The sequence below is a fragment of the Homo sapiens genome, chromosome 22 (genome assembly GCF_000001405.40).
Source record: "Homo sapiens chromosome 22, GRCh38.p14 Primary Assembly".
Classification (NCBI taxonomy): Eukaryota; Metazoa; Chordata; class Mammalia; order Primates; family Hominidae; genus Homo; species Homo sapiens.
The window spans coordinates 23,580,716-23,608,377 of NC_000022.11; the positions used below are offsets into that span (position 1 = coordinate 23,580,716).

General features: G+C 51.4%; 1 protein-coding gene across 5 annotated transcripts in view; it reads right to left on the minus strand.

Annotated features, from left to right (window-relative positions):
* Positions 165–27,662, minus strand: part of DRICH1 (aspartate rich 1) — a 51,937-nt gene continuing 24,439 nt past the window's right edge. For 4 of the 5 annotated variants that reach the window (XM_011530210.3, XM_011530209.3, XM_011530208.3 and 1 more), the window contains one exon: positions 165–2,763. In XM_011530210.3, coding sequence (XP_011528512.1) covers positions 2,456–2,763 — 308 coding nt within the window. In that variant the 3' untranslated portion in view covers positions 165–2,455. The remainder of the gene's footprint in view (positions 2,764–27,662) is intronic. The other variant, XM_011530206.2, reaches the window with a different exon arrangement.

Below are 27,662 nucleotides of genomic sequence, written 5' to 3' on the forward strand. Positions count from 1 at the left end.
GGGGTCCAGAGAGCTGCCCAGCAGGAGTCCCCCAGGGCTTGAGCTCAGGGGCCTGGGCTGAGGCTCCTCCAACCGGTCCTAGAGGGAGGTGTGGTTAGAGAGCAGGAAACAGGTTTGGGTTTAGCCAGAAGCCACTCAACGGTTCAAGTCCAGGAATCATGAGATAAGAATGAAAATGCTGTTTAATGCACCATGTTCAGCACCTCACTGACCTCACATCACACAGACACACACACACACACCAACCACCCCAGCTTCCTGAAGGTATAATTGACAAAACTGTATATATATTTACCACCTACAGTGCGATGCTTTGCCACACTGCAAAATGATTAAATCAAGCTGACACACACGTCCGTCATCTCACATACTTATGCTTTTGTAGTGAGAACATGGAAGATCTAATCTTAGCAATTTTCCAGTATACAATACAGTTTTTAACTGTAGACTCCATGTTGTACGATACATCTCCAGAGTTCATTCTTATAGATTTCACTCAAAGGCCAGTAGCTTCCTCCTGAGCGGTGAGTGCATCATGTCATGGCTTCTGACAGGCCCCCGGTCCTCTCCCAGCCCAGCATCCCCGACCCTCTCCCAACATCTCGCGACCCTGTGCTTTGGTGTTGAGGGAGCAGTGGCAGTCAGGAGGGACTGAGCACCTGTGCTGGGCGGCCAGGGCCAGGCTCTTTTGCTGGTGCTGCCAGAGACGCCTCAGGTCACCCAAGAGTCTCAGGTTCCTCTCCTTCCTCCAGAGGCGGGGCTGGAAATGCTGCTGGCTCTGCTCACACTCCAGGGCTGGGTTGAGGTTGGTGTTGGGAGATAATGCATGTCAGTGTTGTTTTCTTCATCTGTGAAAAAGCAGTAACATACACACAACCTAAAATTTATCATCTTGACCTTTTTTTTTTTTTTGAGAGTCTTGCTGTGTCGCCAGGCTGGAGTGCAGTGTGGCGTGATCTCAGCTCACTGAAACCTCCGAATCCCTGGTTCAAGCGATTCTCCTGCCTCAGCCTCCTGAGTAGCTGGGATTACAGGCATGCACCACCACGACAAGCTAATTTTTGTATTTTTAGTAGAGATGGGGTTCACCATGTTGGCCAGGCTGGTCTCGATCTCCTAACCTCATGATCCACCCGCCTGGGCCTCCCAAAGTGCTGGGATCACAGGTGTGAGCCACCGCGCCTGGCCCATCTTGACCATTTTTAAGTACACAGTTCAGTGGCATTAACTACATTCACAATGTCGTGCAACCATCACCACCATCCATTTCTAGATTTTTCTTTTTTCAGAGTCTTGCTCTGTTGCCCAGGCTGGAGTGCAGTGGCGCAATCTTAGCTCATGGCAATCTCTTTCTCCCGGGTTCAAGCGATTCTCCTGTCTCAGCCTCCTGAGTAGCTGGGATTACAGGCGCCCACCACCATGCCAGCTAATTTTTGTATTATTAGTAGAGATGGGGTTTCAGCATGTTGGTCAGGCTGGTCTCAAACTCCTGACCTCATGATCCACCTGCCTCGGCCTCCCAAAGTGCTGGGTTTACAGGCGTGAGCCACCGCAACTGGCTTTTTCTTTTTTTTTTTTGAGACGGAGTCTCACTCTGTTGCCCAGGCTGGAGTGCAATGGCATGTCTAGATCTTTTTCATCTTGCAGAACTCAAATTCTGTCCCCATTCAACACCAACTTCCCATTCCTCCCTCCCCCAGCCCCTGGCACCCACCATGCTAGTTCCCATCTCTATATTTGGGTACTCTGGATACCTCCTATGGATGGGACCATACACTACTTGTCCTTTGAAAGTCCTTTTTAAACTGGAAAGTGCTGCATGTGTAATACCTTCAGGGGCTTATTATTATTATTATTATTATTATTTTGAGATGGAGTTTCACTCTGCTGCCCAGGCTGAAGTGCAATGGTGCTATCTCGGCTCACTGTGGCCTCTGCCTCCCGGGTTCGAGCAATTCTCCTGCTTCAGCCTCCCAGGCAGCTGGTCTACAGGTGCCCGCCATCATGCTAAATTTTTGTGTTTCTAGTAGAGACGGGGTTTCACCATGTTGATCAGGCTGGTCCCGAACTCCTGATCTCAGGCGATCAGCCCACCTCAGCCTCCCAAAGAGCTGGGATTACAGGCGTGAGCCATCGTGCCCGGCCAATTATCATATTATTATTATTACCAGCTGACCCAGTTAGTGTGGCCTGGAAAATGTTGTCAACCATCATAAAATAAATGAATCCTTGATGATACTGAGCTTCCAAATGCCAGTCTTCAAATTTTGCACTGCAACTCAGAGGGTGTAAAATTAATTCCAATGGCTGCAACCAGCATTTTGTTAAAGTGAGGCAGCCCAGAGCTGACTCCAGCTGGAGAGCGAACTGTTCAACGGGAGGGATGGTGAGGGTTCCTGGAATGTTGCTTCAGTTACCTGAATGCGTAGATATGCTCTGGATAACGATGGAAGATCTACTTCTTGCTGGAAGTTTGGATGGAAAATCTTTTGGAAAGTGCTGTCCTGGAACACCTGGCCCAGCTGTCAAATCCCCTCTGGTATTTCCCCAGCGGCTGATCTGCTGTCACGTTTGAAGCCACCCTTTGCCTTAGGTCCTCCATATCCCTGTCCACGCCCCCGGGTGTGTCCCTGGGGGCAGTGCCATCTGATGGCTTGTCCAGCGCTGTGAGGCTCTCCCCAGCTTCCCTAAAGTTGAGTTTCATCCTGGAGCTGGGCCATCTCACACATCCCCTTGGCATCTGCCAGCCATGGTTGTGGGATGCTGTAACAGACAGACAGAGAGACAAACAGAAGACTTCACATTATCTCATAGAGATCACGAGAGCCATAGTGAGCTCAGGCTCCATGGACTGATGCTCAGATCCCAGTGTCCCATGAACACTGAGAGTCCCCTCAGCGCCAAAGGCTGCATGCCAGACAGCTCCCGATCCTCGGGGAGATGGGCAAGGTGCTGAGCAGTAATGGGATGTGGACACCCTAAGAAACACTGATGCAGGTAGAGGGGAAGCCCCTGGGAGGCCCCAATCCAGTCTAGCTTCTCCCCTGTTGGGAGCCTTGGTCCACTGCTGCCCCCGACCCTGGCTCCTCTCACCTTCAGGGCTGGAGCAGCACCTGCACTGGGGGTCTGGGCTGAAGCTGCTCCCTCCCCAGCACCCCCCTTGAGTGTGACACTCATCACTGCCTGGGACTCAGAAACTGTGGTTCCCCCAAGGACAGCCCCAGGTCTCGGGAGAGGAAGCGACTGTTTTAAATAGTGCCCCCAGCCGCTCCCTTTCAGGCCCTGCCTGACCCTGCACCTGCCATGGCCTCTCAACAGAGGCAGCCTCAGACCACATCTTTCTGTGGCGGGAAATCTGGGTCTGGCTGGATCCTGGGGACCCTGCGGGGCTGGGCTGGGCCGGGCCTCTCCAGCAGGTGCAGCTGCAGCTCTCACCACCCAGGCTCACCTCACCCCTTCCTGGACTGAGATGTGTCCAGGCCTGGGCAGAGGAGGCTGGGCCCTGCTGTCCTGCTCAGTGCCCTCCCTTTTTAGGGTCCCTGGTGCCTCTGCAGAGCCCTCTGGGTCCTGCCTGGCTGTCCTCTCTCAGAGCACAGGTGACTGCCCCATCTAGTCACCTCTGCCCTGCTCCCGTGTTTGTGGGTGTCCCCCATTCTGGCCTCCTGCTGGTCAGTCCCCTGCCCACTCTCTATGCCCCAGGCCTCAAAGACTCCGCCTGCACCACCAAGGATCCCTCTCTCTCAGGCTGTCTCCAGAGGAAATACAGGACCATTTTCCTCAGGAACCAGAAGTGAAGGTTCTAGAAACTCTCAAGTTTTCAGGGTCACTGGAAGTGATCTCTGTTATTTTGGCAGCTTCAAAATATTCTTCAAAGCCCAGAAGTCTTGAGGTTTCCTTGGACATGAGGATGATGATGTACCTACCATTATTTACGGCCAGGGTGATGTTTAATTTTATGTGTCAACTTGGCAGGGCCACAGTGCCAGATATTTGGTCAAATATTATTCTGATGTTTCTGTGGCATTATTTTGTGGGTGGGATTAACATTTAAATTTTACATTTCACAAACTTGTGAAAATTAAACAACAGTCTTTTTTTTGAGACAGGGTCTCACTCTGTTGCCCAGGCTGGAATGTAATGGTGCAATCATAGCTCACTGCAGCCTCAACCTCCAGGGCTCAAGGAATCCCTCCCACCTCAGCCTCCCAAAGGGCTGGGATTTAAGTTACCAGTTTCCCTCTATGTGCTGATTTATCTGTATCCTACAAATTTTTATGTGGTGGTCTCATCATTGTTCAGTTTAAAATGTTACCTAATTTTGTTTCTTGAGTTCCCCAACTGTTGGCTTATTCAGCAGTTTCTTTTCTCTCTTTCTTTTTTTTCCTCTCTCTCTCCTTCCTTTCCCTTCTTTCTCTCCTTCCTTCCCTCCTTTCTGTTTTAGAGACAGGGTCTTGCTGTGTCAGCCAAGCTGGAGTGCAGTGGTGCAATCAGGGCTGACTGCAGCCTCCAACTCTTAGGCTCAAGCGATCTTCCCACTTCAGCCTCCGAAGTAGCTGGAACTAGAGGAACATGCCACCACACCTGGCTAAATTGTGTTACATGTTTTGTTGAGAGGGTCTTGCTATGTTGCTCAGGCTGGTCTCAAGCTCCTGAACTCAAGATCCTCCCGACTTGGCCTCCTGAAGTGCTGGGATTACAGGCATGAGCCACCATGCCCGCCTAGCAGCGTATTTCTTAATTTCCAAATATATGAGGAGGTTCTAGTTATATATTTGGTTGTGGGGGATATTTTGTGGGTTTTGTGGGTTTTCTTTTCTTTTTTTTGAGACAGTCTCACTGTCACCCAGGCTGGAGTGCAGTAGTGTAATCATGGCTCACTGCAGTCTCCAACTCCTAGGCTCAAGTGATCCTCCTGCCTCAGCCTCCTGAGTAGCTAGGACTACAGGCACATGCCACCACACCCAGCTACTTTCTCTTTTATTTTTATAAAGACAGGGTCTCACTGTGTTGCCCGGGCTGGACTCAAACTTCTGGCTTCAAATGATCCTCTCGCTTTGGCCTCCTAAAGTTCTGGGATTACAGGGATGAGTCACTGTGTGCCCGGCCATATATTGGTTATTGATTTCTAGTTTAACTGTATGTATTTAGGGTGCATACTCTGAATAATTTCAATTCTTTCAAATCTGCCTTATGGAGACTTGTTTTGTAACTCAATAGATAGTTACTTTTTGTCAATGATTCTTGTCTGTTTTTTATCTTTGAAGAGAATATGTACTCTGCAACCCTTGAATGCAGTGTTCTATATGTAAGTCCATTAGGTACTCATTATTGTCTTTCAATCTTCTATTTATTTTTGTTTTTTAGGGTTTGTCTGCTGAGAAGGAATCATCTCCCTCAGGGACTGTGAATTTATTTGTCCCTGTAGCTCAGCAGTTTTTGGTTTCATATTTTTTGAGACCACATTATTAGATGCATACAAATTTAAAACTGCTAGTCCGGCTGGTAGCTTACGCCTGTAATCCTATCACTTTGGGAGGCCAAGGCAGAAGGATCACTTGAGCCCAGGAGTTTGAAACCAGCCTGGGGAACATGGTGAAACCCCATCTCTACAAAAACATTAAAAACTAGCTGGGCATGGTGACTTGCACCTGTAGTCCCAGCTCCTTGGGAGGCTGAGGTGGGAGGATCATCTGAGCCCAGGAGGTCTAGGCTGCAATGAACTGTGATCACACCACTGCACTCCAGCCTGGGCAACAGTGTGAGACCCTGTTTCAAAAGAAAACCAAAAAACACCATTACCTCCCTCATGTTCCCTGATGAGGTTTTTGTTTGTTTGTTTGTTTTTGAGACTGAGTTTCACTCTTGTCACCCAGGCTGGAGTGCAATGGCAGAATCTCGGCTCACTGCAACCTCCTCCTCCCAGGTTCAAGTGGTTCTCCTGCCTCAGCCTCCAGAGTAGCTGGGATTACAGGCACATACCACCATGCCCGGCTAATTATTGTATTTTTAGTAGAGACAAGGGTTTCACCATGTTGGCCAGGCTGTTCTTGAACTCCTGACCTCAGGTGATCCACTCGCCTCAGCCTCCCAAAGTGCTGGGATTACAGATGTGAGCCACTGCGTCCAGCCGAAATAAAACTTTTATTAGCATAAAATAGCCCTATTTATTCCAGATGACACCTTTTACCTTGAAGTTTCTTTTGTCTGATATCTATATAACTACACCAGTTTTCCTTTGAGTAGGAATTTCACGGTATCTTTTTCCATCTGTTTACTTTCATAGCCATTCTCTAACCTAGCCCACCACTCCTGCACACGGGAGCTCTTCTCTAAAAGACTTACCTGTGCCCTTATCGTGCAAGAGTCATGTTTGTTTTCCTTGCATTTCCAACAGTTTAGTCGCATCTCTATGATGGGATTTCTAGGCCTTTTCTGTGCAGTATCTGGGGCTGGGATAGCACTGCCGGGTGCCCCTCCCCCCATGCTTCCAGGGTACATGTGCAATGTCTGTTATAGACCATGTCAGAGAGCCATCCTGTGGGTCCCAGACACCCAACTCAAATGGCCTCAAACAAGGAGGGAGTTACTGCCTGGCATAACCGGGAATCTGGATGTGGGGCACCTAGGGTCACCCGATCCCAGAACCCTGCTTCCATTTCTGTGGGTTTCTCCCTGCCCTTTCCCCCAGTTGGCTGGATTTACTCATGGGAAGCCTTATCAGACCAAAATTCGAAGGGAGAGAGAAGCCTTCTCCATCATCCAGGCAGAGGGACCCATCCCTGAGGACCAGGACCAGGGACGGGGCCTGACTGCCTTCCCTGGGGCACAGAGAAGGGAGGGAGTGGTGAAGGCCTCAGGCCTAGGACAGGCAGCTGACCACCACCCTCCCCTCCCCACCATCCAGGCCAGGGACAATCTGAGAACCAACTAGCAATCCAGCAATGGGACACATTCAGCAGAACCCTGGAAGGTGCCCCAGGAACCAGGCCCAAGGCCTCTAATGTCAGGGCTCACAGAAACCCAGGGGTCTCCCCACCGTGCATGCAGTGTGACAAAGACTCTCTCCTTGAAAAAACTTGAGCCAGGCCCCTCTAAGCCTTCTCCACTAGGCTTTGACCTTGAGCTTCAGTGCCCACCTTAATTGCGTCTGCACTGCACAGTTTTAGCAAGATTCCTGCTAAGTGGGTTTAGCCATAGTCACCTACCCTCAACATCTGATCACCTTCCCTATCTGATCAAATTCCCAATCCCCCAGGTGACATCTGGTCACCCTGGCCTGCCTTCTGAGGAATCCCCACTTGCCCATGCTATATTCGCATGGAGCCCAGTCTCATACCGAGGCCTCTTCTCCACAGCAGTAGTTCCTGATAAAATCTATTTTGACCCTTTTGCTACTGTCCAGTTCTGGTTTTCTTTTTTTCTTTGTTTTGAGACAGAGTCTTGCTCTGTCACCCAGGCTGGAATGCAGTGGTGCAATCTCAGCTCACTGCAACCTCCGCCTCCCAGGTTCAAGCAATTCTCCTGCCTCAGCTTCCCAAGTCGCTGGGATTACAGGTACCCATGGCCACACCCAGCTAATTTTTTTGTATTTTTAGTAGAGATGTTTTGCCATGTTGGCCAGGCTGGTCTTGAACTCCTGGCCTCAGGTGATCCACCTGCCTCAGCTTCCCAAAGTGCTGGGATCACAGGCATGAGCCACTGTGCCCAGCCCGAGCTCTGATTTTCTATAACAAGTTGGGAAGGCGCTCAGTGGGAGGGTTCAGCCCACAGCAGAGAAGTGTATTCAGAATCTCTTCCTTCTTGCAGGTCACACCTGAGCTGCCCTCTTCCTGAGAACAGAGAGAGCTTCCAGGCAGGGGGCCCTACTGTCTGCCCAGCAGGTGCCTAGGGCCACCATTTAAGAGGGTGCTCACTCTCAGGTGCTGACCCTGTACTCACACAGGTGCCTGCTCCCCTCACTCTGGTCCTGGGCAGGCCCAGCCCCTCTGCATCTGTCTTATGGCCTCCAACCGAACAGGCCTGTAATGAGTGATGGCTGTCACTTCCTTTCTGCCACCCGGGTATCTCACAATTTTTTTTAGCCAATTCTGACCCCAAATCATATGGAGAAGGGGACTGTAGGAAACTTAGTTCTAGTTTAGCCAGGTGGATACAGGGCAAAACCACTCCAGCCCACCTTTGTCAGCGTGGCATTTCTGCACACTTCCTCTAACCAGATTAACCTCCAAATAAAGCCACTAGCAACATCATGCTTCTGCCGAACATGATGAAACTAGGCTCATATAACCCAAACAAGCTAACCCTCCCAGAAAAGGACTCAGGTCTATAGATCACTTCATCCATCTTCAGGTGATGTTTATTACTCTCCCAGCTGACACACACACACACACACACACACACACACACACACACCCCTTTGATATTCTATAACTTAGATATCAAAATAGGTTACCAGCCAGGCGAGGTGGCTCATGCCTATAATCCCAGCACTTTGGGAGGCCAAGGTGGGCAGATCTCTTGAGCCCAGGAGTTCAAGACCAGCCTGGGCAACATGGTGAAACTTTGTCTCTACAAAAAATACAAAAATTAACCACACGTGGTGGCTTGAACCTGTAGCCCCAGCTACTTGGGAGGCTGAGGTGGAAGAATCACCTGAGCCCAAGAGCTCGAGGCTGCAGTGAGCTATGATGGTGCCACTGCACTCCAGCCTGGGCGACAGAGCAACACTGTCTCATTAAAAAAAACCCAAAAAACATACATATGTACATATATATATATGTGTGTATGTGTGTGTGTATATATAAAATAAAAAATATATAAATGTTCATATATAATAAAAAATTTAAAAGTAGGTCACTTATTAACATAAGAATGTATTAATCACAGGGAAATGAGGAGGAGAAAGTGTTACTAGTGTTACGACAAATGCAATTACAGTCATGTCAAAACAAAGAAGAAACATCCTCACTCTTGAGTGTCCTCCTTTCTGTCACTCTCACATGGCCGCAGCTGGTGCTGACTGTTTCTACTACCCACTGGGTAGTCTCTGTGCCCTCAGCAGATACCTTGGTGTTACCTGTTTGGTGGGATGACTCAAACCCTTATACCTGAGGGTCTGGGCCATTCACGCTCCTGCCTGAATTACATGGCTGTAGTTTGCAGTAACTGTTACCACAGGACATGAAGGGACCCCGAGGCTCTCAGTGCTCCAGACATACCCTCCCTTCATCCCTCTGTGTAGCAGTGCCCCAGTACCCTGATAGTTTGGCTCGATCCCCGGATGTCTATTGTTCTCTGGCATAAGGAGCCCACAGTGGCCAGGGAGGCAGCCTCTTGTGGAATTGGTCGAAGGTTTCCTCTCTTGGGAATTAAAGCCTCTAAAGCAACAGAGCCCAGAGCTGTGTGGACGGGAAGCACCTTCTGTTTGTTGATTTCCAGAGCCATGAATCCTGGCTAGGGGTGAGGTGATGCCACATAATGGCTTTCTGGTTGCATTTTAGTGATTGATTTCTAGCATCGTTGCATTGTACTACAAAAGCATAACCTGTATTTCAGCCCTTTGATTTTTTTTTTTTTTTTTGAGACGGAGTGTTGCTCACCCACCCTGGCTGAAGTGCAGTGGTGTGGTCTCAGCTCACTGCAACCTCCACCTCTTGGGTTCAAGCAATTCTCCTGCCTCAGCCTCACAAGTAGCTGGGATTATAGGCATGCACCACCACACCCAGCTAATTTTTGTACTTTTAGTAGAGATGGGGTTTTGCCTTGTTGCCCAGGCTGGTCTCAAACTCCTGAGCTCAAAGTGATCTGCCTGCCTTGGTCTCCCAAAGTGCTGGGATTACAGGTGGGAGCCACTGCACCCAGCCAGCCCTTTGATATTTGGGGACACATTCTTTTTTGTTTTGAGATGGAGTCTCGTTCTGTCACCCAGGCTGGAGTGCAGTGGCACAATCTCAGCTCATTGCAACCTCTGCCTCCCAGGTTCAAGTGATTCTCCCGCCTCAGCCTCCCAAGTAACTGGGATTACAGGTGTGCACCACCACGCCCGGATATATAAATATAGATATCTATTTAGATACCTATATATCTAGAGATGGGGGTTCACCATGTTGGCCAGGCTGGTCTTGAACTCCTGACCTAAAGGGATCCGCTCACCCTGCCTTGGCCTCCCAAAGTGCTAGGACTACAGGCGTGAGCCACTGGGCCCAGCAGGGTACATGTTCTTTATAGCCTGGCATATGTGCGCTTTTGTTCCATATCTGCTTGAAAAGAATGTGCCCTGCACTCGGAGCATGCTCTGCTCCGTGGATGGCATAAGGCTGTCTACTGTCTTCCTCAAACCTTCTCTAGCCGTTCTCACTCATGGCCCACTTATTCCACTAATTACAGAGATGTGTAAGAATCTGGGAGCATCTCTACATCTATAGGCATCCCACAGCTGGAACGGGGCTCCCCTAGACAGTTCTGGCCTTCAGGCCTGCGGAATGGTTGAGGCAAAAGGAAGAAAAAGACACTGAGTCCCAAGCAGAGATGTGGGGTCCTCCTCCCCCAGTTCAGCTTGGGCCAGTCTCACAGCACCCCCTGGTGGCCTCCCGCTGCAGGTCACACACTTACACTCTCAAGGACTGCACTGGAGCTTCAGACAAGGAGGGCACTCTTCCAGGCCCTGTTCTTGCTGGATGGGTCAGGTCTCTTCCTCTCCCTCCCTGTGACTCCCCTTTCTCCACCGACTACAAGGAAATGGTCTCCTGCCAGCCTTCTCGCTGTCTGAGAACGTGAAATGGCAAGGTCTCCTGTTGAGACCTTGAACTACTCCAAGCGCTTCCCACTTCACTTCTATGAAGTGAGCTTCCCTCAAAATTTCTGCTGACCTCATCCACGAAACAGGGAAGAAACCCAAGGGCAGGTTGAGCCTCAGCCATTGTGAGGATCTATCTGAGGCGTAGGGGGTCCTGTCAGGAGCTAGGTTGTGGAGCACATGGGCTCAGGGAAAATCACAGCTGGGGTGCTTGCGAAATCATTGTTTTTAGGAAATACGTAAATACACCAGGCGTTAAGGCGACATGAAAACATAACAATGAGAAGCAAGAAGAAAATGGTTATGGTTGGACCTATTTTCTCCTTTCCCACGAACCAAAGGGCTGGCTCAAACCCCAAATTTGGCCTTCTTCCCTGGTTCAGCTGCACCTGACACCCAGAATACAGCACAGGGCTGGGGGAGGGGTGTGGAGGGGGAGCAGGCCCTCTGCTTCCCATGTTACAGTAGCTAACATGGGAATAGGACTCCCCCAAACCTCCAGCCCAGGCTCCTTCTGTGGCTACGCGAGGGGTGTTTCCCGAGGCACGTCCTTCCCTCCAGCGGAAGGCATGTTCAGGGAACACAGGAACGCAATGGGGCTGGAGCATGGAGGGTCCAGAGACGGGAGCCAGATCAGGAAGGGCCTGCAGGCTGGCCTTGACATTCTGGTTTACATGGGACTCAATGGGGGTGTCTGAGGAAGGGAATGACCCCATCAGGCTAGCAGGGTAGAAAGCACTCTGGCTGCCAAAAGCAGAACAAATACAAGGGCAGTCAGGTCAGGAGGCTGTGCACTGGGCCAGCAGAGGGATGGCAGCAGCCTCAGGTAAGGCAGAGTAATCAGAGAGGAGGTGGCATCCAGTGATATCAAGGAGCAAGACTGGGGGGGGGCGGTCCATGAATTAGAAGGTAGAGGAGGAGTGGGTTTTTGAATCCAGGCTTAAGAGGAGAAAAGGACAGGAAGTAGGGAGAGAGCTGATAAGCACCATCAGTATGCATAACAGGCAAGAGAAAGTCACTTGTTCACACAGCAAGTGCTGCTGGGTGGCCTACTCCACAGCCTCTTCAGGGGCAGAGCCCACCCCTCCAGGGCCCAGTCTGCACAGTGGGAAAGGAAGATGGGCAGAGAGAGGCTGATATTGGGCACCTCTGGGGCGGGCCACTAATAGAAGGGAGAGGCTTCAAGCTTTAAGATAAGACTTCCAGCCAGGTGGCTCACACCTGTAATCCCAGCACTTTGGGAGCCTGAGGCAGGCAGATCACCTGAGGTCAGGAGTTTGAGACCAGCCTGGCCAACATGGTGAAACCCTGTCTCTATTAAAAATACACACACACACACACACACACACACACACACACACACACACACAAAATTAGCTGGCATGATGGCACACACCTGTAATCCCAGCTACTCGGGAGGCTGAGGCAGGAGAATTCCTTGAACCCGGGAGGTGGAGGTTGCAGTGAGCCATGATCGTGTCACTGCACTCCAGCCTGGCAACAGAGTGAGGCTTCACCTCAAAAAAAAGAAAAAAAAAACGAAATTATTCCTGAAGAAACACAGGTATCAGACTTGCTAGACAAAGACCTTAAAACCATCTTAAATACGCTCAAACAGTTAAAGGAAAACATGGACAAAGAACTAAAGGAAATCAGCAAAATTATATATTAATAAAATGAGAATATCAATATAGAGATATAAAAAGAACCTCAACAAAAATTCTAGAGCTGAAAAATACAATAACTAAATTGAAAAATTCAGTAGAAGAAGTCAATGGAAGGTTCAAGCAGGTAGAAGAGAGAATGAACAAACTTGAAGAAAGTACATTTGAAATTACTTTGTCTGAGGAGCAAACAGAAAAGAGCAAACAGGCCGGGTGCGGTGGCTCATGCCTGTAATCCCAGCACTCTGGGAGTGCTGAGGCGGGCAGATCACCTGAGGTCAGAAGTTCGAGACCAGCCTGGCCAACATGGTGAAATCCCTTCTCTACTAAAAATACAAAAATTAGGCCAGGCACAGTGGCTCACGCCTGTAATTCCGGCACTTTGGGAGGCCAAGGCAGGCGAATCACAAGGTCAAGAGATCGAGACCATTCTGGTGAACATGGTGAAACCCCATCTCTACTAAGAATATAAAAATTAGCTGGGCATGATGTCGCGCGCCTGTAGTCCCAGCCACCCGGGAGGCTGAGGCAGAACTGCTTGAACCTAGGAGGCAGAGGTTGCAGTGAGCCAAGATTGCGCCACTGCACTCCAGCTTGGTGACAGAGCAAGACTCCATCTCAAAACAAAACAAAACAAAAACAAAAACAAAAAAATTAGCCGGGCGTGGTGGCGCATGCCTGTAATCCCAGCTACTCTGGAGGCTGAAGGAGGAGAATCGCTTGAACCCGGGAGACGGAGGTTGCAGTGAGCTGAGATGTCACCACTGCACTCCAGCCTGGGCGACAGAGCAAGACTCTGTCTCAAAAAAAAAAAAAGAAAAGAGCAAACAAAGGTGAAGGCATCCTAAGGGACTATGGGACACCATCAAGAGGACCAAGATACACATTATGCATTCAGCAAAGGAGAAGAGAGAGGAAGGAACAGAGATTATTTGCAAAAATGTCCAAAAACTATCCCAAATTGGAGAAAGACGTGAAACTACAAATCAAAGCAGCTCAATGAACTCCAAGAGAATTAACCACAAAAAGATCCACACCAAGACACATTATCATCAAACTGGCAAGTGACAAAAAATCTTGAAAGCAGCAGCCAACAACAACAAAAAAAAGTTGGCTGGGTGTGGTGGCTCACGCCTGTAATCAAAGCACTTTGGGAGACCAAGGGAGGTGGATCACCTGAGATCAGGAGTTCAAGACCAGCCTGGTCAACACGGCAAAACCCCATCTCTACTAAAAATACAAAAAATTAACCAGGTGTTGTGGCAAGTGCCTGTAATCCCAGCTACTCGGGAGGCTGAGGCAGGAGAATTGCTTGAACCTGGGAGACAGAGATAGCAGTAAGCCAAGATCGCACCACTACACTCCAGAGTGAAACCACGCCTGGCTAATTTTTTGTATTTTTAGTCATTGTTGAAGTTCAAGGGAACAAGATGTATGACAAGTGACTACTCATCTGTCAGAGTGGCAGGGCCACTGAGGATGTGACAGTCATTCATCCACTCTGAAACAACTCTTCAGGATCCCTAACATAGAAACGAACATCTGGCCTTTACATGCTTTGATAAACAGGATCTATTCCTGTTAAAGCAGAGGCTTCGTTCATCTCCAAAGCTTGTAGAGGAACCTCAGACCTGGGCCAGAGATCCTCAGAGGGCTGTGGTTTCAGGGCCTGGAGGTGACACCTCCCAATCACACAGACATTGCAGGCTCAGAGGGAGGAGCCCCTTTGAAAGAGGTGAGCAGAGTCTGGGGCATTTGTGCAAATGTTGATGAAGTCCCCAGACAACTCGCAGGCTCCCAGGAAACCCTAACTGGGGAAGAAAAGATGAGGATAAGCAGAGCCCACCATGGGTGAGAAGAGAGGAAAGCCAGGGTCTCCACCACCCAGGTCCTCAGTGTCCCTCCTCCGTGTGCCCGGCCCTGTCCTGTGGGTGGAGGGTGAGGAGAGGGAGAGAAGGAAGGGTTGGCAGTTTCATAAGAACTGGACCTCCTCCTATGAGTAGATGAAATAGTTTAATGAGATTGGTTTTGGATTTTCCAGCTTCCCTAGAGGCCGGAATCAGACTCCCAATATAAGCTCTTGGTCGCTGTGGTGAAAGTTCGTGTGTATTCATCCCCTGAGAAGGTTCCCTAACCCTTACTGTGTCTTCTGTGTGAGGAGTGCAGCTCTAAGCACTCAGGGTACTGTTTCCCAGTGAATCTTAATGAAATGTTTGGAGAATTTTTATTTCCTCCATTTAGCCTAACCAGAACAGAAACGTCAGCTCTAGAGGTAGAACAGGTCACTCAGAGTCACCCGAGCAATGACTGCTGCATGAGCTGCTGACTTGAGGTCTAAGTGATGGGAAAGTTCACCTTTCTGCCTAGTTGCCTCTGAAAATGTATCCTAAAATTAAGTAAACACATTGTTTATAGCTAATCTTTCTAGGTGGCTTCATAAATCAATAAACAGACACACATTTTCCATGTGCAGATGGTGTGCAAAGTTTTGGGGGTCAGACCAACTCAGGAGGCTGCCCCTGAGGAGATAGGAAAGGTCCCCTGTCCATTAATGAGTGGCCTTGGCCAGACTTCCAACCATGGTGAGGGAGGAAGGGGGGCATCCATAGCTCCTTCTCCTCCACTCTCAGGAAACCCTAAGCCAGGAAATAATTCTAAAGAGATCTAGGGAGGAGGAACTGAGAGGACAAGTTGACTCAGACAGGAAGACCCTAGGACTCTCCATGGGGGACGTTCATAACTGAGAAGCATCATTGCTGGCCAGGGGACTGGAAAACACATCATCTTACATCCCTGCATTCCCGCTCCAAATGTCTGAAATCCCAGGAACCCACAGCCTGTCTTCTCACCGGAGCTCTCAGGGGCACTTCTGCTCTCTAGGAGATAGAAACTGTCCCTTCATTATCACATTACGTCATTTTTGCTGCACACAGAGTCTTCCACAGTGGGTTCTAGTCATTTCTCCGTGTTTCCCTTCATCTCCTTTCTGTCTCTTCTGAGAGTCTGATTCCATCTAGCACCTCTTCTCTTTCCTGTGAGGCCAGTTCTCCCCGGGTCCAACCTCAGGGGTGCAGTTCAAAGGTTGTCCCCTTCCTCTTCCCCTTCCCCTTTTGACAGAGTCTTGCATCCAGGCTGGAGTGCAGTGACACGATCACAGCTCACTGTAGCCTTGATCTACTGGACTCAAGGACCCTCCCACCTCAGCTTCGCAAGTAGTTGTGACCACAGGTACATGGCACCCCCGTTTATTTTTATTTTTATTTGTGCAAAGGGGTCTCATTTTGTCGCCCAGGCTGGTTTAAACTCCTGGCCTCATGCCATCTTCCCACCGTGGCCTCCCCGCTCTGCATTTTCTTCTGAGCGCTGGTCTCACAGCCTCCTACAAGTTTGGTGTGCTTTGTTTCCATTTTCATTTATCTCAAAGAATTTTTGAACATCACTTGTAATTTCTGCTTTGATTCATTGATTGTTTAGGAGTGTGTTTAAATTTTTATATATTCCTGAATTCAGATTGCCTTTGTTATTGATTTCTACCTTCATTCTATTGCAGAGAAGATACTTTGATTTCAGTGCTTTTAAATCAATGAGATTTGTTTCATGGTCTAATACATGGTATATTCCAGAGAACATTCCATGTGTGCTTGGGAAGAATCTGTATTCTGTGAGTCTGTTGTAGATGTTGTCAGGTCTAGCTGATTTATAGTTTTTCAAGTCCTCTACTTCTTTATTGATCTTCTGTCTCATTGTTCTAGCCAGTATTGACAGTATAGTATTGCAACTATTATTGCGAAGCTGTCTGTTTCTCTCTTCAATTCCATCAGTCATTACTTCCTATACTTGGGGGCTCTGTGGTTAGACGCACATGTACTAATTGTTACATCTTCTTGATGAAGTAACTTATTTATCAATATATAATGTCCTTCTTTGCCTCTTGTAATAACTTTCATTGACTGACCCATCTTTCTTTTCCTTCCTGCCTTGCCTCCTTCCTTCTTTCCTTCCTCCCTCCCTCCATCCCTCCCTCATTTAAACTGTTGGCAGGACACAGTGGCTTACATCTATAATTCCAGAATTTGGGAGGCCAAGGCAGGTGAAGTGTGTGAACCCAGAAGTTTGAGACCAGCCTGGGCAACATGGTGAAACCCAGTCTCTACAACACAACACAACAAAACAAAATCTAAAATTAGCCGGTCACCTATAGGTGCAGCTATGCGGCCACTCAGGAAGCTAAGGTCAGTGCATCTATTGAGCCCTGGAGGTCAAGGCTGCAGTGAGCCATGATCACACCACTGCACTCCAGCCTGGGTGACAGAAGGAGACCCTGTCTCAAAAAAAAAAAAAAAAGGAAAAAAGAAAAGAAAAGTACATAAATACACAGATAAACTGTTGGTTGGGAGCCGTGTATGCGCCAGGCACTAAGCTGGGGATGAGATGGGATGAAGAGTCTGGAGACTTGGGAAAAGGCTGCATCTCTGGGAGGCCACAGCTTTTCCTTAGTCAAAGAGGGTCCTGGAAGGGGTAGGTAAGATCCCTTGAAGCCAGGTCCTCCAGAGCTCCAGGACCCAAGGTGGAGCTCAGGGTGTGGGAAGGCAGCCAGGGGGCAGCATCAGGCCTGGTGGGGGGCTGGGGCTGGGAGCAGGTGGGATGTAGGGAGAGGGCTGTTCCACCGTCACCTGTGAGCTGCATGAACACCCAGTGCAGCCCTGAAATACGCTCCCCCTCTCCCTGGCCACATCTGTCTTGTTTTTCTCCTGTCCCACATCCCACGCGGCAGCCTTGGCTTCTCCTTGCCTTAGTTTTTTCCCTTGTCACCCTGAGTTCTGGTTTAGGTCAGTGTTAAGATTAACCTTAGCCTGGGGATTCCCAAGGTCAGCCAGCTGCAGGCAGGGCCACCGGAGCTGGGAAGGTGAATCCCCCACCCCCATCCCTTGGCCTGGCCCCCACCCTACTCTCACCTCAGACCTCGCTGTCCCTCCAGGCCTCCCTGGCCAACCCCTTCACCCAGGAAGCTACTGGTTTCCTGAATGGCTGGTCCTCAGGTCCCTGACCCAGCTTCTCCTTGACCAGAGTGAAGGCTGGGCCCAGGGAGGGAAAGGTACTTGCCCAGGATCACACAGCATGTCACCCACAGGCCCAGGCAAGAACTGAGGAGAGAACAGCAATGGCTGGGGGTAGGTGAGGGTCCCCGTGGGCCTGGCACTCCCTAGGCATTCTCATTTAATCCCCAAAACAAACCTGTGGGGAGAGACTGTTATCACCCCCGTGTACAGAGGAGGAAACTGAGGCCCACTGAAGGGAGTCAAACTGCCCGAGGTCAAGGGCTGCTGAGGGCTGAGCTTGGGCGGGACCCCTTTTCTGTCTCACCCTGTGGCTGGGGCTCCCACAGCAGAGGCTCCACTTGGAAGAACACGCTCTGGGCTCCTGCAGGCCTTTGCCAGCTGCCCTCCCTCCTCCTAGCCGTTCAGGGGAGGGGTGGCCATCGGGCTCTGTAGCCCTGACTCGGCCTTACTCTGCTCTGAGGCCTCTTTTCTGCATCCCCGAAATGGGGTCAGAGCTGGGGAATGGTAAAGGGAGGTCACCCCACCTGAGCATATCTGGTGCCTGGCAGAGGGCAGTGCTCCATACAGGCGCCCTCCATACAAGTGTGTTCCATACAGGTGTGCTCCATACAGGTGTGCTCCGATGTGAGCTTGGGCAGGCCCCTTCCTCTCCTGATCTCGGTTTCCCCATTTGTCAGTGAGAGGCTCTGGCCTGAAAGTCAGGACACCCCTGAGCTAGCTCTGCCTCATTCTTTGGGATTTAACTGCTCTAGGCCTCAGTTATCCTACCTGTTAAATGGGACCAAGATCCTGACCATGGGCCCCACAGAATCCATGAGTGGCTCAGCTGGACAACACGTGTCCCATATTTTATAAATGGTACAGGGACAATAAGGCCACTCAATAGCGTCTCAACACAGGCACAGCTGCCTTTAGGAGTTGCAGATCTGGCCAGATCTGAGGCATTCAGGGCCTTTATTCTCAGCCTTGTTCCCTCTGGGCCCTGTTCCTGCCCCTCTGCAGGGCTCTGGGGCTTAGGACACGTCAGCCTGCTGGCCCAGCCCAGTGTGCGTGTTCACAGACCTGGTCTACCGTCCAACCCAGAGAACTCCTATGCACCCCGCAGGGCCCTGCCCTGGACCTGCCTCCCTGCATCCTCTGCCCATTCAGTCTTCTTTACCAGGTGGTCACTGCCTGTGTCCCATTCAGGGCCCAGACCTGCTCTCTCCCTTGTCCCCTGCCCCTATTAAGGCCTGGCCCAGTGCAGGGCCCAGCCATGCGGCAGAATGGAAGGAATTTTTGGGTGGTGAGCAGGGTGGCAGGGCACGTGGTATGGCAGACAGGTTCTAGGGTCTCTGAGATGATCCCTCAGGGTGCTTTTATGGGGGCCCATGTGCACCTGCCATATCCCTGTTGAGAGAAGGGGCGCTGAGGTCACTCCTGTGCCTTTGCTCACACCCATCTTCCAGCATGCCCTTCCTCCCTCTGCCCTCCAGCCCTGGTTCAAGCTCCCAGGCCTGTCTGAGGTTGCCACTGCCCCCAGGCCACCTTTGCTGACATGGGATCCCCAGTATCCCCTGCCCCTCATCGTCTTCACAGAGGGTCTCATCTGCAGCCTGAGCTCTGTACTGGGCAGGGACAAGTACTCCCAGGGGACCCCAGTGCCACAGCCCCCTTCTCCCACGGTGCATGATCAGGCACACTTCAGGTCTCACCTGGGGCTGGGCTAGGTTGATCCCGCTTTGCCTGGGACATCAGGAGCTGAGGGTCTATATAGGTCAGGCCCCAGGAGGTGTCAGAGGGTTTGTGGAAGGATGGGTGTGTGTGTGTACGGACAGATATATGGATGGACAGACTGATGGAAAAACGGATAAGTAACTGTCCAGTCTGAAGTCCTGTCCATGAAGGAGGGACCCTGGGAGGCCTCTTGGGGGCAGCTGTGCTTCCAGGTACTTTGTCACTACCCAAGACCTTAGGGTCCCAGGGCAGCAATTGAAAGGGTCCCCATTTCCCTTTCCCTCCCTGTAACTGGCCAAGCCCCCTGAAATGTCTGAGGTTTGGAAGCAGCAGGTGGGTTGTGACCTTCAGGGACCCACTTCCAGCTTCAGCCAATCCTGCCCACCCTGGGTCCCTCTGAGCTCTGAGTGTCTGGCTGTGCCCTACAGTTGGCCATAGCTCTGCACCTAGCATTTTGAACAGTTCCTGGGGATCCCTGAGAAGGGGGTAGGGCCTGCATGAACAGAAGCTTCTGGAGCAGAAGATGCCGCTTCTGTCCCTTGACTGACTGTGATCTTGAGACCCTGTCTAGCTCAGGTCTGGGCACAGGGCCTGGGCACCTCGGTGCTGGATACAGGCCCATTTCCCAGCTGGGCTGGTGGAGGCTTCATTAACCGAACCCTCCCCTACCCTATGTCCCCACCCCCACTAGCCTCCCCTCTAAAAACGATTCGGCAATTTTTTTTCTTTTTTTTTTTTTTGAGATGGAGTCTCGCTCTGTCGCCCAGGCTGGAGTGCAGTGGTGCGATCTCGGCCCACTGCAAGCTCTGCCTCCCGGGTTCACACCATTCTCCTGCCTCAGCCTCCTGAGTGGCTGGGACTATGGGCACCCGCCACCATGACCAGCTAATTTTTTATATTTTTAGTAGAGACGGGGTTTCACCGTGTTAGCCAGGATGGTCTTGATCTCCTGACCTCGTGATCGACCCACCTCGGCCTCCCAAAGTGCTGGGATTACAGGCGTGAGCCACCGCACCTGGCCGGCAATTTCTAATAAACATACGCTTATGCATATCAAGCAAACTCTACTCCTAGGTTTTTATCCAAACGGAATGAAAACTTATGTTTAAACAAAAATTTGTTTGCAAATATTTATACTGGTTTTATTCACCATTGGCAATAAGCAGAAACATCTGGTTTGACCTAACGCACGCGCGCACACACACACACACACACACACACACACACGTGGAAACAGCCCAATTGTCATTCAACTGGTGAATGGCTAAACACATGGTGATACCTTCATAAATGGAATCATACTCAGCAACAACAGGGAACAAACTATTGATCCATAAGGCAACTGGGATGAATTACAACATTGTTACACTGAACTCAGGAAGCCAGACTCAGAAGGTTACATACTTAGACTCCTAGTCAGCATTAAAAATGAACAAACTAGGTTGCAATTGAGCCACCTGGAGGAACACCCAGAAAACTATGCTGAGTGGGAGAAAGCCAGTCCCCAGAAATCACATACTGTATGATTCCATGTGCAGAACATTCTTGAAATAACAAAATTACACAAGTGGAGACCAAATTAATAGTTGCCAGGGGCTAAGGAGGGGTTTGGGACAGTGGGAAGTGAGTGTTCCTGTGAAAGGGCAACATGAGGGATGTTTGGGAGGGAAGTGTTCCCTTCTTGCTGTATCAATGTCAATCTCCTGGCTGTGATCCGTTACTGTAGCTGCAAGGTGCTACCGTTGAGGGAACTGGCCGGAGTACCTGGGATCCCTCTGTATGATTCCTCACAACTGCATGAGAAGCTGCAATTATCTCAAAATAAAAAGTTTAATTTAAAAAGCGGTCACATCCTTTACGTTTGCATTTCTGTGATATTCTGTAAAAAGCAACAGTATAGGGTCAGAAAGAGACCAGTGGTTGCCGTGGTTGGGGTACAGAAAGGGTTTGAATGTAAAAGGAACGTAAGGGCTGAGAGCAGGGGCTCACCCCTGTAATCCCAGCACTGTGGGAGGCTGAGAGCAGGGGCTCACCCCTGTAATCCCAGCACTGTGGGAGGCTGAGAGCAGGGGCTCACCCCTGTAATCCCAGCACTGTGGGAGGCTGAGAGCAGGGGCTCACCCCTGTAATCCCAGCACTGTGGGAGGCTGAGAGCAGGGGCTCACCCCTGTAATCCCAGCACTGTGGGAGGCTGAGAGCAGGGGCTCACCCCTGTAATCCCAGCACTGTGGGAGGCTGAGAGCAGGGGCTCACCCCTGTAATCCCAGCACTGTGGGAGGCTGAGAGCAGGGGCTCACCCTGTAATCCCAGCACTGTGGGAGGCTGAGAGCAGGGGCTCACCCCTGTAATCCCAGCACTGTGGGAGGCTGAGAGCAGGGGCTCACCCCTGTAATCCCAGCACTGTGGGAGGCTGAGAGCAGGGGCTCACCCCTGTAATCCCAGCACTGTGGGAGGCTGAGAGCAGGGGCTCACCCCTGTAATCCCAGCACTGTGGGAGGCTGAGGCAGGTGGGTCACTTGGGGCCAGGAATTTGAGACCAGCCTGGCCAACATGGCAAAACCCTGTCTCTACTAAAAATACAAAAATTACCCGGGTGTGGTGACACACACCTGTAATTCCAGCTACGCGAGAGGCTGAGGCAAGAGAATCGCTTGAACCCAGGTGGCGGAGGTTGCAGTGAGCCGAGATTCACCTCTGCACACCAGCCTGGGTGACAGAGTGAGACTGTGTCTCTAAAAAAGGGGTGCTTAGAGAAATTTGGGGGGGGGTGGAAATATTCTGTATTTCAATTGTGATAGTTACATGAGTCAATGATTTTTTAAAAATTATACTAGGTTTTATTAGCTACACCAAAAAGAGTAAACTTTACCATAAAGTAGAAATGTTTCAAAAGTTTAAATGTTTTAAAATGTTTATTATGTCATTACAGTTGTCAAAAACATATTTATCTTAAGTGTTTAATGTTCCCTACCATGGATATAACATAGTTTATTTTACCTCCCCCTAACATTCGACATTTAGGCTGTTTCCACTTTTCCCTCCATGAACACATTTACTTTTTTTTTTTTTTTTTTTGAGACAGTCTCTCTCTGTCGCCCAGGCTGGAGTGCAGTGGCACAATGTTGGCTCACTGCAACCTCCGCCTCCCAGGTTCAAGCGATTCTCCTACCTCAGCCTCCCACACATTAAGAATTTTTAGCTGAAGTTTTATCCCCCCAAAACAAATTTCTCGAAGTGGAATGACTTGATTAAAAGGCATGTACATTTTTATGATTTTTCATACATGTTTCTGAAATCCAGTCTCCCTCGGGCAGCCCCCGAGAATGCCCGCTACTCCCCATCAACCTCTGGTGCCCCCAATTCAGCTTCACCCTCCCATTTCACAGCAATCTGGGCCCCTGGGTGGCTTAAACCTGTGCCTCCTCCAGGTTCCTCACCTCCCCTGGACCTGGCTACCCCCACTCTCCGCCCTGGGCCTCCCTCCTCTAATCTGCTCTACACCAGCCTCTCATCAGAAGCACACAAATCTGATGATCAGTCTCCTACCCAAATCCCTCCAGAGACTCCTCCTGGATCTGAGGATAAAGGCGGGCCACAAGGACCCTGTGGTCTGTCAGCCTCTCCCTCCGTGTCCCCCAGGAGCTCCCCGCCACAGCCCTTGGTCTCCTCTCCACTGGCACTGCTGCCTTTGAGGGGCGCCCAGCACCAGCCAGTGCTGCTTGATCTGTGAGACCAGTACTGGCATCCCCCCACTGCAGAGGGGGGACCCCCTCCCCCTTTATTGCTCCAAAAATGGGCCATGATCTGTCCTCCTGACTGCACAGTCCCCCTGCGTTTGGCCCACCCTCCCTGTGTCCCCCAGCCTGGCCCCTAGTAAGCCTTTATGAGCAAGACGATGAGTGGATGGCCTTGGGGGAGACGAAGCCAAGCCCTTGCTGCCTTCTGGGGACACTTTGCAGACCACCACTTCCCTTGGGCATTTTGTTTAAAATACAGGATGTGCTGACATGATCCCAGTGTTAACTGTTCATCAAAAAAGCCCAGGGCTGTCCTTGCTCATCCCTCTCCTGTTCCCCCTTCTCCTGAATCTGTCCTCATATCAGTCAAACTGCCTGGGTCACCACAACACCCTCCATGGGGTGTCTCTAGTTCTGGATTCACACCCCTGCCCACCCATCCAACTCTGGTCTCATCGATTCCCTGCAAACAGCCTCCAGGACTCCCCAGATGAGTCTGTCCTCCAGGGATGAGTTCTCTGGGTCTGGGCCTGGCACCTGTCTAGCCTGCTCTCAGACCACCTTGGCCCCAGGACTCACTTGGTCCAGCCCTGTGGGCCGCCTGGAGCTTCTCGAGGCTCTATGCCTGGGAGTCCCCTGCCAGGTGTCCCCTGCACCTGTCACTCATCCTCTGTGGAGACCCCTCAGGCTTTCCCTGTCCCAGTCTCTGTCCTGCAAGCATCACACTGCATATGGCTGTCACCTCACACGACACCCTCATTTTGTGTGCTTGAGTTGGGGTAAGTCTGGTTCCTCTGGGACCTCAGCCCTGGCACAAAGCCTGACGCTGATGGGGACTCCTTGCCTAGAAGTCCCTGCAGGACACTGAGACCCTGGTCTCAGCCTGGCACCCACTAGTTTTAACCCTCCCCTGACAGAGGGACTGCTGGACTGCTGGTGTTGCACAGGGTCAGCTTTCCTCGTGGAAGCCCTCACCACGGCCACTGCAGGGGTAGGGCATCAGGCTGCAAGGCCCTCACCAATCAGAAACCTCACTTTGCAGAAGGGGAAACTGAGGCTGCAGAGGTGCACATGTCAGCTCCATCAGCTCAGGGGACAGGGACAGGGAAGAGCTGCAGTTGGACTAGCTAAAGCCTTATGACTTTCTCAATCACTAGAGCTGCTAAGCTGACACTATCTTTATTACCTGGTTCCTCTCAGAGTTGACATTTGGAATAAAGTACATGGCCTTCCCTTTATTTCTGTGAAATGACATCTTGATCTAGTTGTCCCAGTCCACTGCATTTGGTGCAATTGTCCAAGGTACTCATGAACTCTGCCAGCTCTGCGATATGAGCTGAGTGAGTTGGGCGGGTCGCCTCACCACTCTGGCCTCTATCTCTATTTGTACAATGGGGATCACAGCAGGACCTGACTATGAGGTCACTGAGATGGAGGTTCTGTCCCTGAAATGATTATCACCTGGGGTATAAAGTTCACCAGTGATGAACAGGCCATTGTGACCCAGAAGGTTGTAAATGAACCCAGATGCTCAGTGCTTTGGGGACCTCCCACCACACACAGAGGGCAAGGACTGGGGTCACACAAGGAGAGGGGCCGCACCATGTCCCCCCAACAGGTCCTCCCCAGGGCCTTTCCCTCAGAGGCACCAGCACCGTGTAGGCTTAGGTTTCCTAGGGGTCAGTCCTAGGAGGTGACTCTGGCTGAGGTCTAGTGACCCACAGACCCCAGGGAAGGCCCCCACAACATCAGCTGGAGCCCACCACCTGGTGCTCGGGGAGGTGGCCCCTGCCCAGTGGGGGAAAGGGTGTGGAGGCGGCACATACATAGTGGGAGGAGGAGGAGGAGGGGGAGAGGAAGGGAGAAAGGAGGAGCCTGGGTGCCCTGTGGGGACAGCGGCCACCATCCTCTGTGGACATCCTGCCCCTGCCTCCATTCCCACCCCTGCCTCCATTCCCACCCCTGCCTCCATTCCTGCCCTATCCAGAGGACTGGGGGGAGGCCAGTGAGATGCTGGCCTTGGTGCCAAATTTAACAGGGGCCAGAAATCTCACGAATCAAGATAAATAATATTTTAATATGATATTTAAAAATAAAAATTAGGCCGGGCACAGGTTAATTATGGGCTCATGCCTGTAATCCCAGCACTTTGGGAGGCCGGGGTGGGTGGATAACTTGAGGTCAGGAGTTCGAGATCAGCCTGGCCAACATGGCGAAATGCCATCTTTACAATAAAAAAATTAGCCAGCCATTGTGTGCACCTGTGAGCCCAGCTACTTGGGAGGCTGAGGTAGGAGAATCGCTTGAACCTGGGAGGCGAAGGTTACAGTGAGCTGAGTTCACGCCACTGCACTCCCGCCTCAAAAAAAAAAAATTTTTTTTTTTGAGTGAGACCCCACCTCAAAAAAAAAAAATTAATTCAAACAAGTTCATGATGGACAAAATAGTAACCCTTTAGTGAAAGCTAGTGTCTGCCCAGGCCCCTCTAGGGGTTGATGTTCCTCCTCAACCCTCTGGCTTGTCTCCTCCACAGGCCTCCACATTCCATAAAATCTCTCACCCCTTACCTGCCCCACAGGCTTTTGGGGCTGGACTGACCACTTCCCTCCCAGGCTTCCAGCTCCAGCTGGGAGGAGCCAGGTGGGGCCTGTTTATGGGGGAGCCTTGCCTCATTGTACTTCTCCCAGTACCTGTACCCGAGCTGTGCCATGTGATGCCCCCCTTCCCATAGAGCCCCAGGTCCCTTCAAGACCCCTTGGCCAGAGCCTATGGCTTCCCATTGGCGTCGGTTGGGGCGCAGCTCTTTTTGGTGTGTGAGACACTGGCCTCCACTCTAGGTCTTCCATCTCGGAGTCGAACCCAAGCTCTTCTCAAAGGCTGGTCTGACCAGGCGTGAGTCTCCAACTCCTTTGAAATATTTGGGGTGGGAAGCGGGGGCTTTCTTGGCTCCCCTACTCTGGGGCAGTGGTAGGGAAGAGCGGAGGGTCTCCTGGTGTGCCTGGGCCCCACAGCAGTGAGGTGCGGGATCTCCCAGGGCTGGCTGCTGCCTCTCAGGCCACTGTGCCCTGCTACGGCAGATGCCCCCTGAGATGCCAGCGACCAAAGGCTGGCCCTCCCTGGGTCCTCTGCGCCTGCCCTCTCATTCAACTGCTGACATGGCTGTCACCCACCCACAGCCTCCTGCTGGCTTCTCAGGCCCCTGGCCAGGCAGCTTCGTGGGGTGATGGGGAACTTACAAGTTCTCCTGTCAAACCCACCAAGTTGCTCTGCAAAATCCTTCCTGCACCCTGCAGGCCAACCAGCATGGGAGGGGGTGTGGCCGGTCCACCCTCAGTGCCCTTTCCTGTTGTGCAGGGGCCCACGATGTCATCAGCAAGGGTCTGATCCGCTCACTGATGTGGAAGCTGTAGAGGGAGGAGCGTTCCGGGAGCTCGTCCTGGACCCGCTGTCTCCTGCCTGCAGGAGGATGCAGGAGAGGGTCTGGCACCTCCACCCCATGAGGAAGGCGAGAACAGGAGAAGCACTGGTGACGATCCTGACACCCAGTGGTCACTGAGTGTGTCCTGTGTGCCAGGCATTGTCTCCAAACCTCACATTTAGACAACCCTCCAGGGAGGCGATGTCTGCCTTCACAGGTGAGGAAACGGAGGCACAGTGTCTTGTGTCTCAGTCCAGGTCACATAGGATCACAGTCTACATCCTGGCCTCAAAACTGGGGGAGCACAAAGACTCAGAGCTTGCAGTGGTTGGGGAGTGTTCCCACACTGGGACCCTCATTGTGAGGATGGGCCAGTCACCGACCCCCAGAGTCCCTGCCTTGGCCGTGGCCATGTCCTCTTGCTGGCGGGGGCGGGGGGGGGCCTCTTGCCTTCCCTAAGTCCAGGTTTCTCTTTCTTCTGAGAGTCTCATTAGAGGCCCGGGTATTTCTCCAAGTGTGGCCCCTGAACCAGACCCTGGGTGGTCTGTGGAAATGCATGTTCCCAGGCCCCATCCCCGCCCCATCATTCTTAGGTTTGCACAGAGGTCCCTTTCCATGGGATCAGGAGAGTGGCTTTCCAGGAGAGAACTTTCTCTCTGAAAATGCAGCCTCCCCAGCCTCCCTGCATCCTCCTATGTCCACTGTGACCACCATCCTTGCCATCACTTTCTGTGTCATCCCCAAGGGGAGCTCCTGAGGACAAGGCTTTGCTCTGTTTGCTGCTCCAGACCCAAAGGTCACAGCAGGGGAGCTTTGGCCCCAAGTTGAGAATTACCTGGCCCAAAAGACTGCTGAGGTGGGGAAACCCAGCTCTTGCCTCAGCATCTCGCTGCATGAATGAATCAGGGAATCCCTGCAGCAGTGGGACAGGGTGGCACCTCCCTTTGAGACTCTGCAGGCACCAGGGTCAAAAGAGGGCTAGGGTGAGAGGGGGTGAGAAGAGGCCCCCCCAGGCTGTTAGAAATTCCGTGTTGGTGGCCTGCCGAGAAGTAGGTGGCCCTGGACGCACAAGCCATCAGCCTGCTCCTGAAGCTGCTACACTCATGCATGGGCAGGGTGTGCCTGAAGGCCACCAAGGCCCTCACCATGCTGCCAGAGGCCCCTGAGGGCTGCAAGGTCCTGCAGGCCCATATGCACACCTTCCGTGTCCTGGAGGAGGACTCTGACAGCAAGGCTTATGAGGGCGAGGCCTTATAGAAGGTGACCCAGATC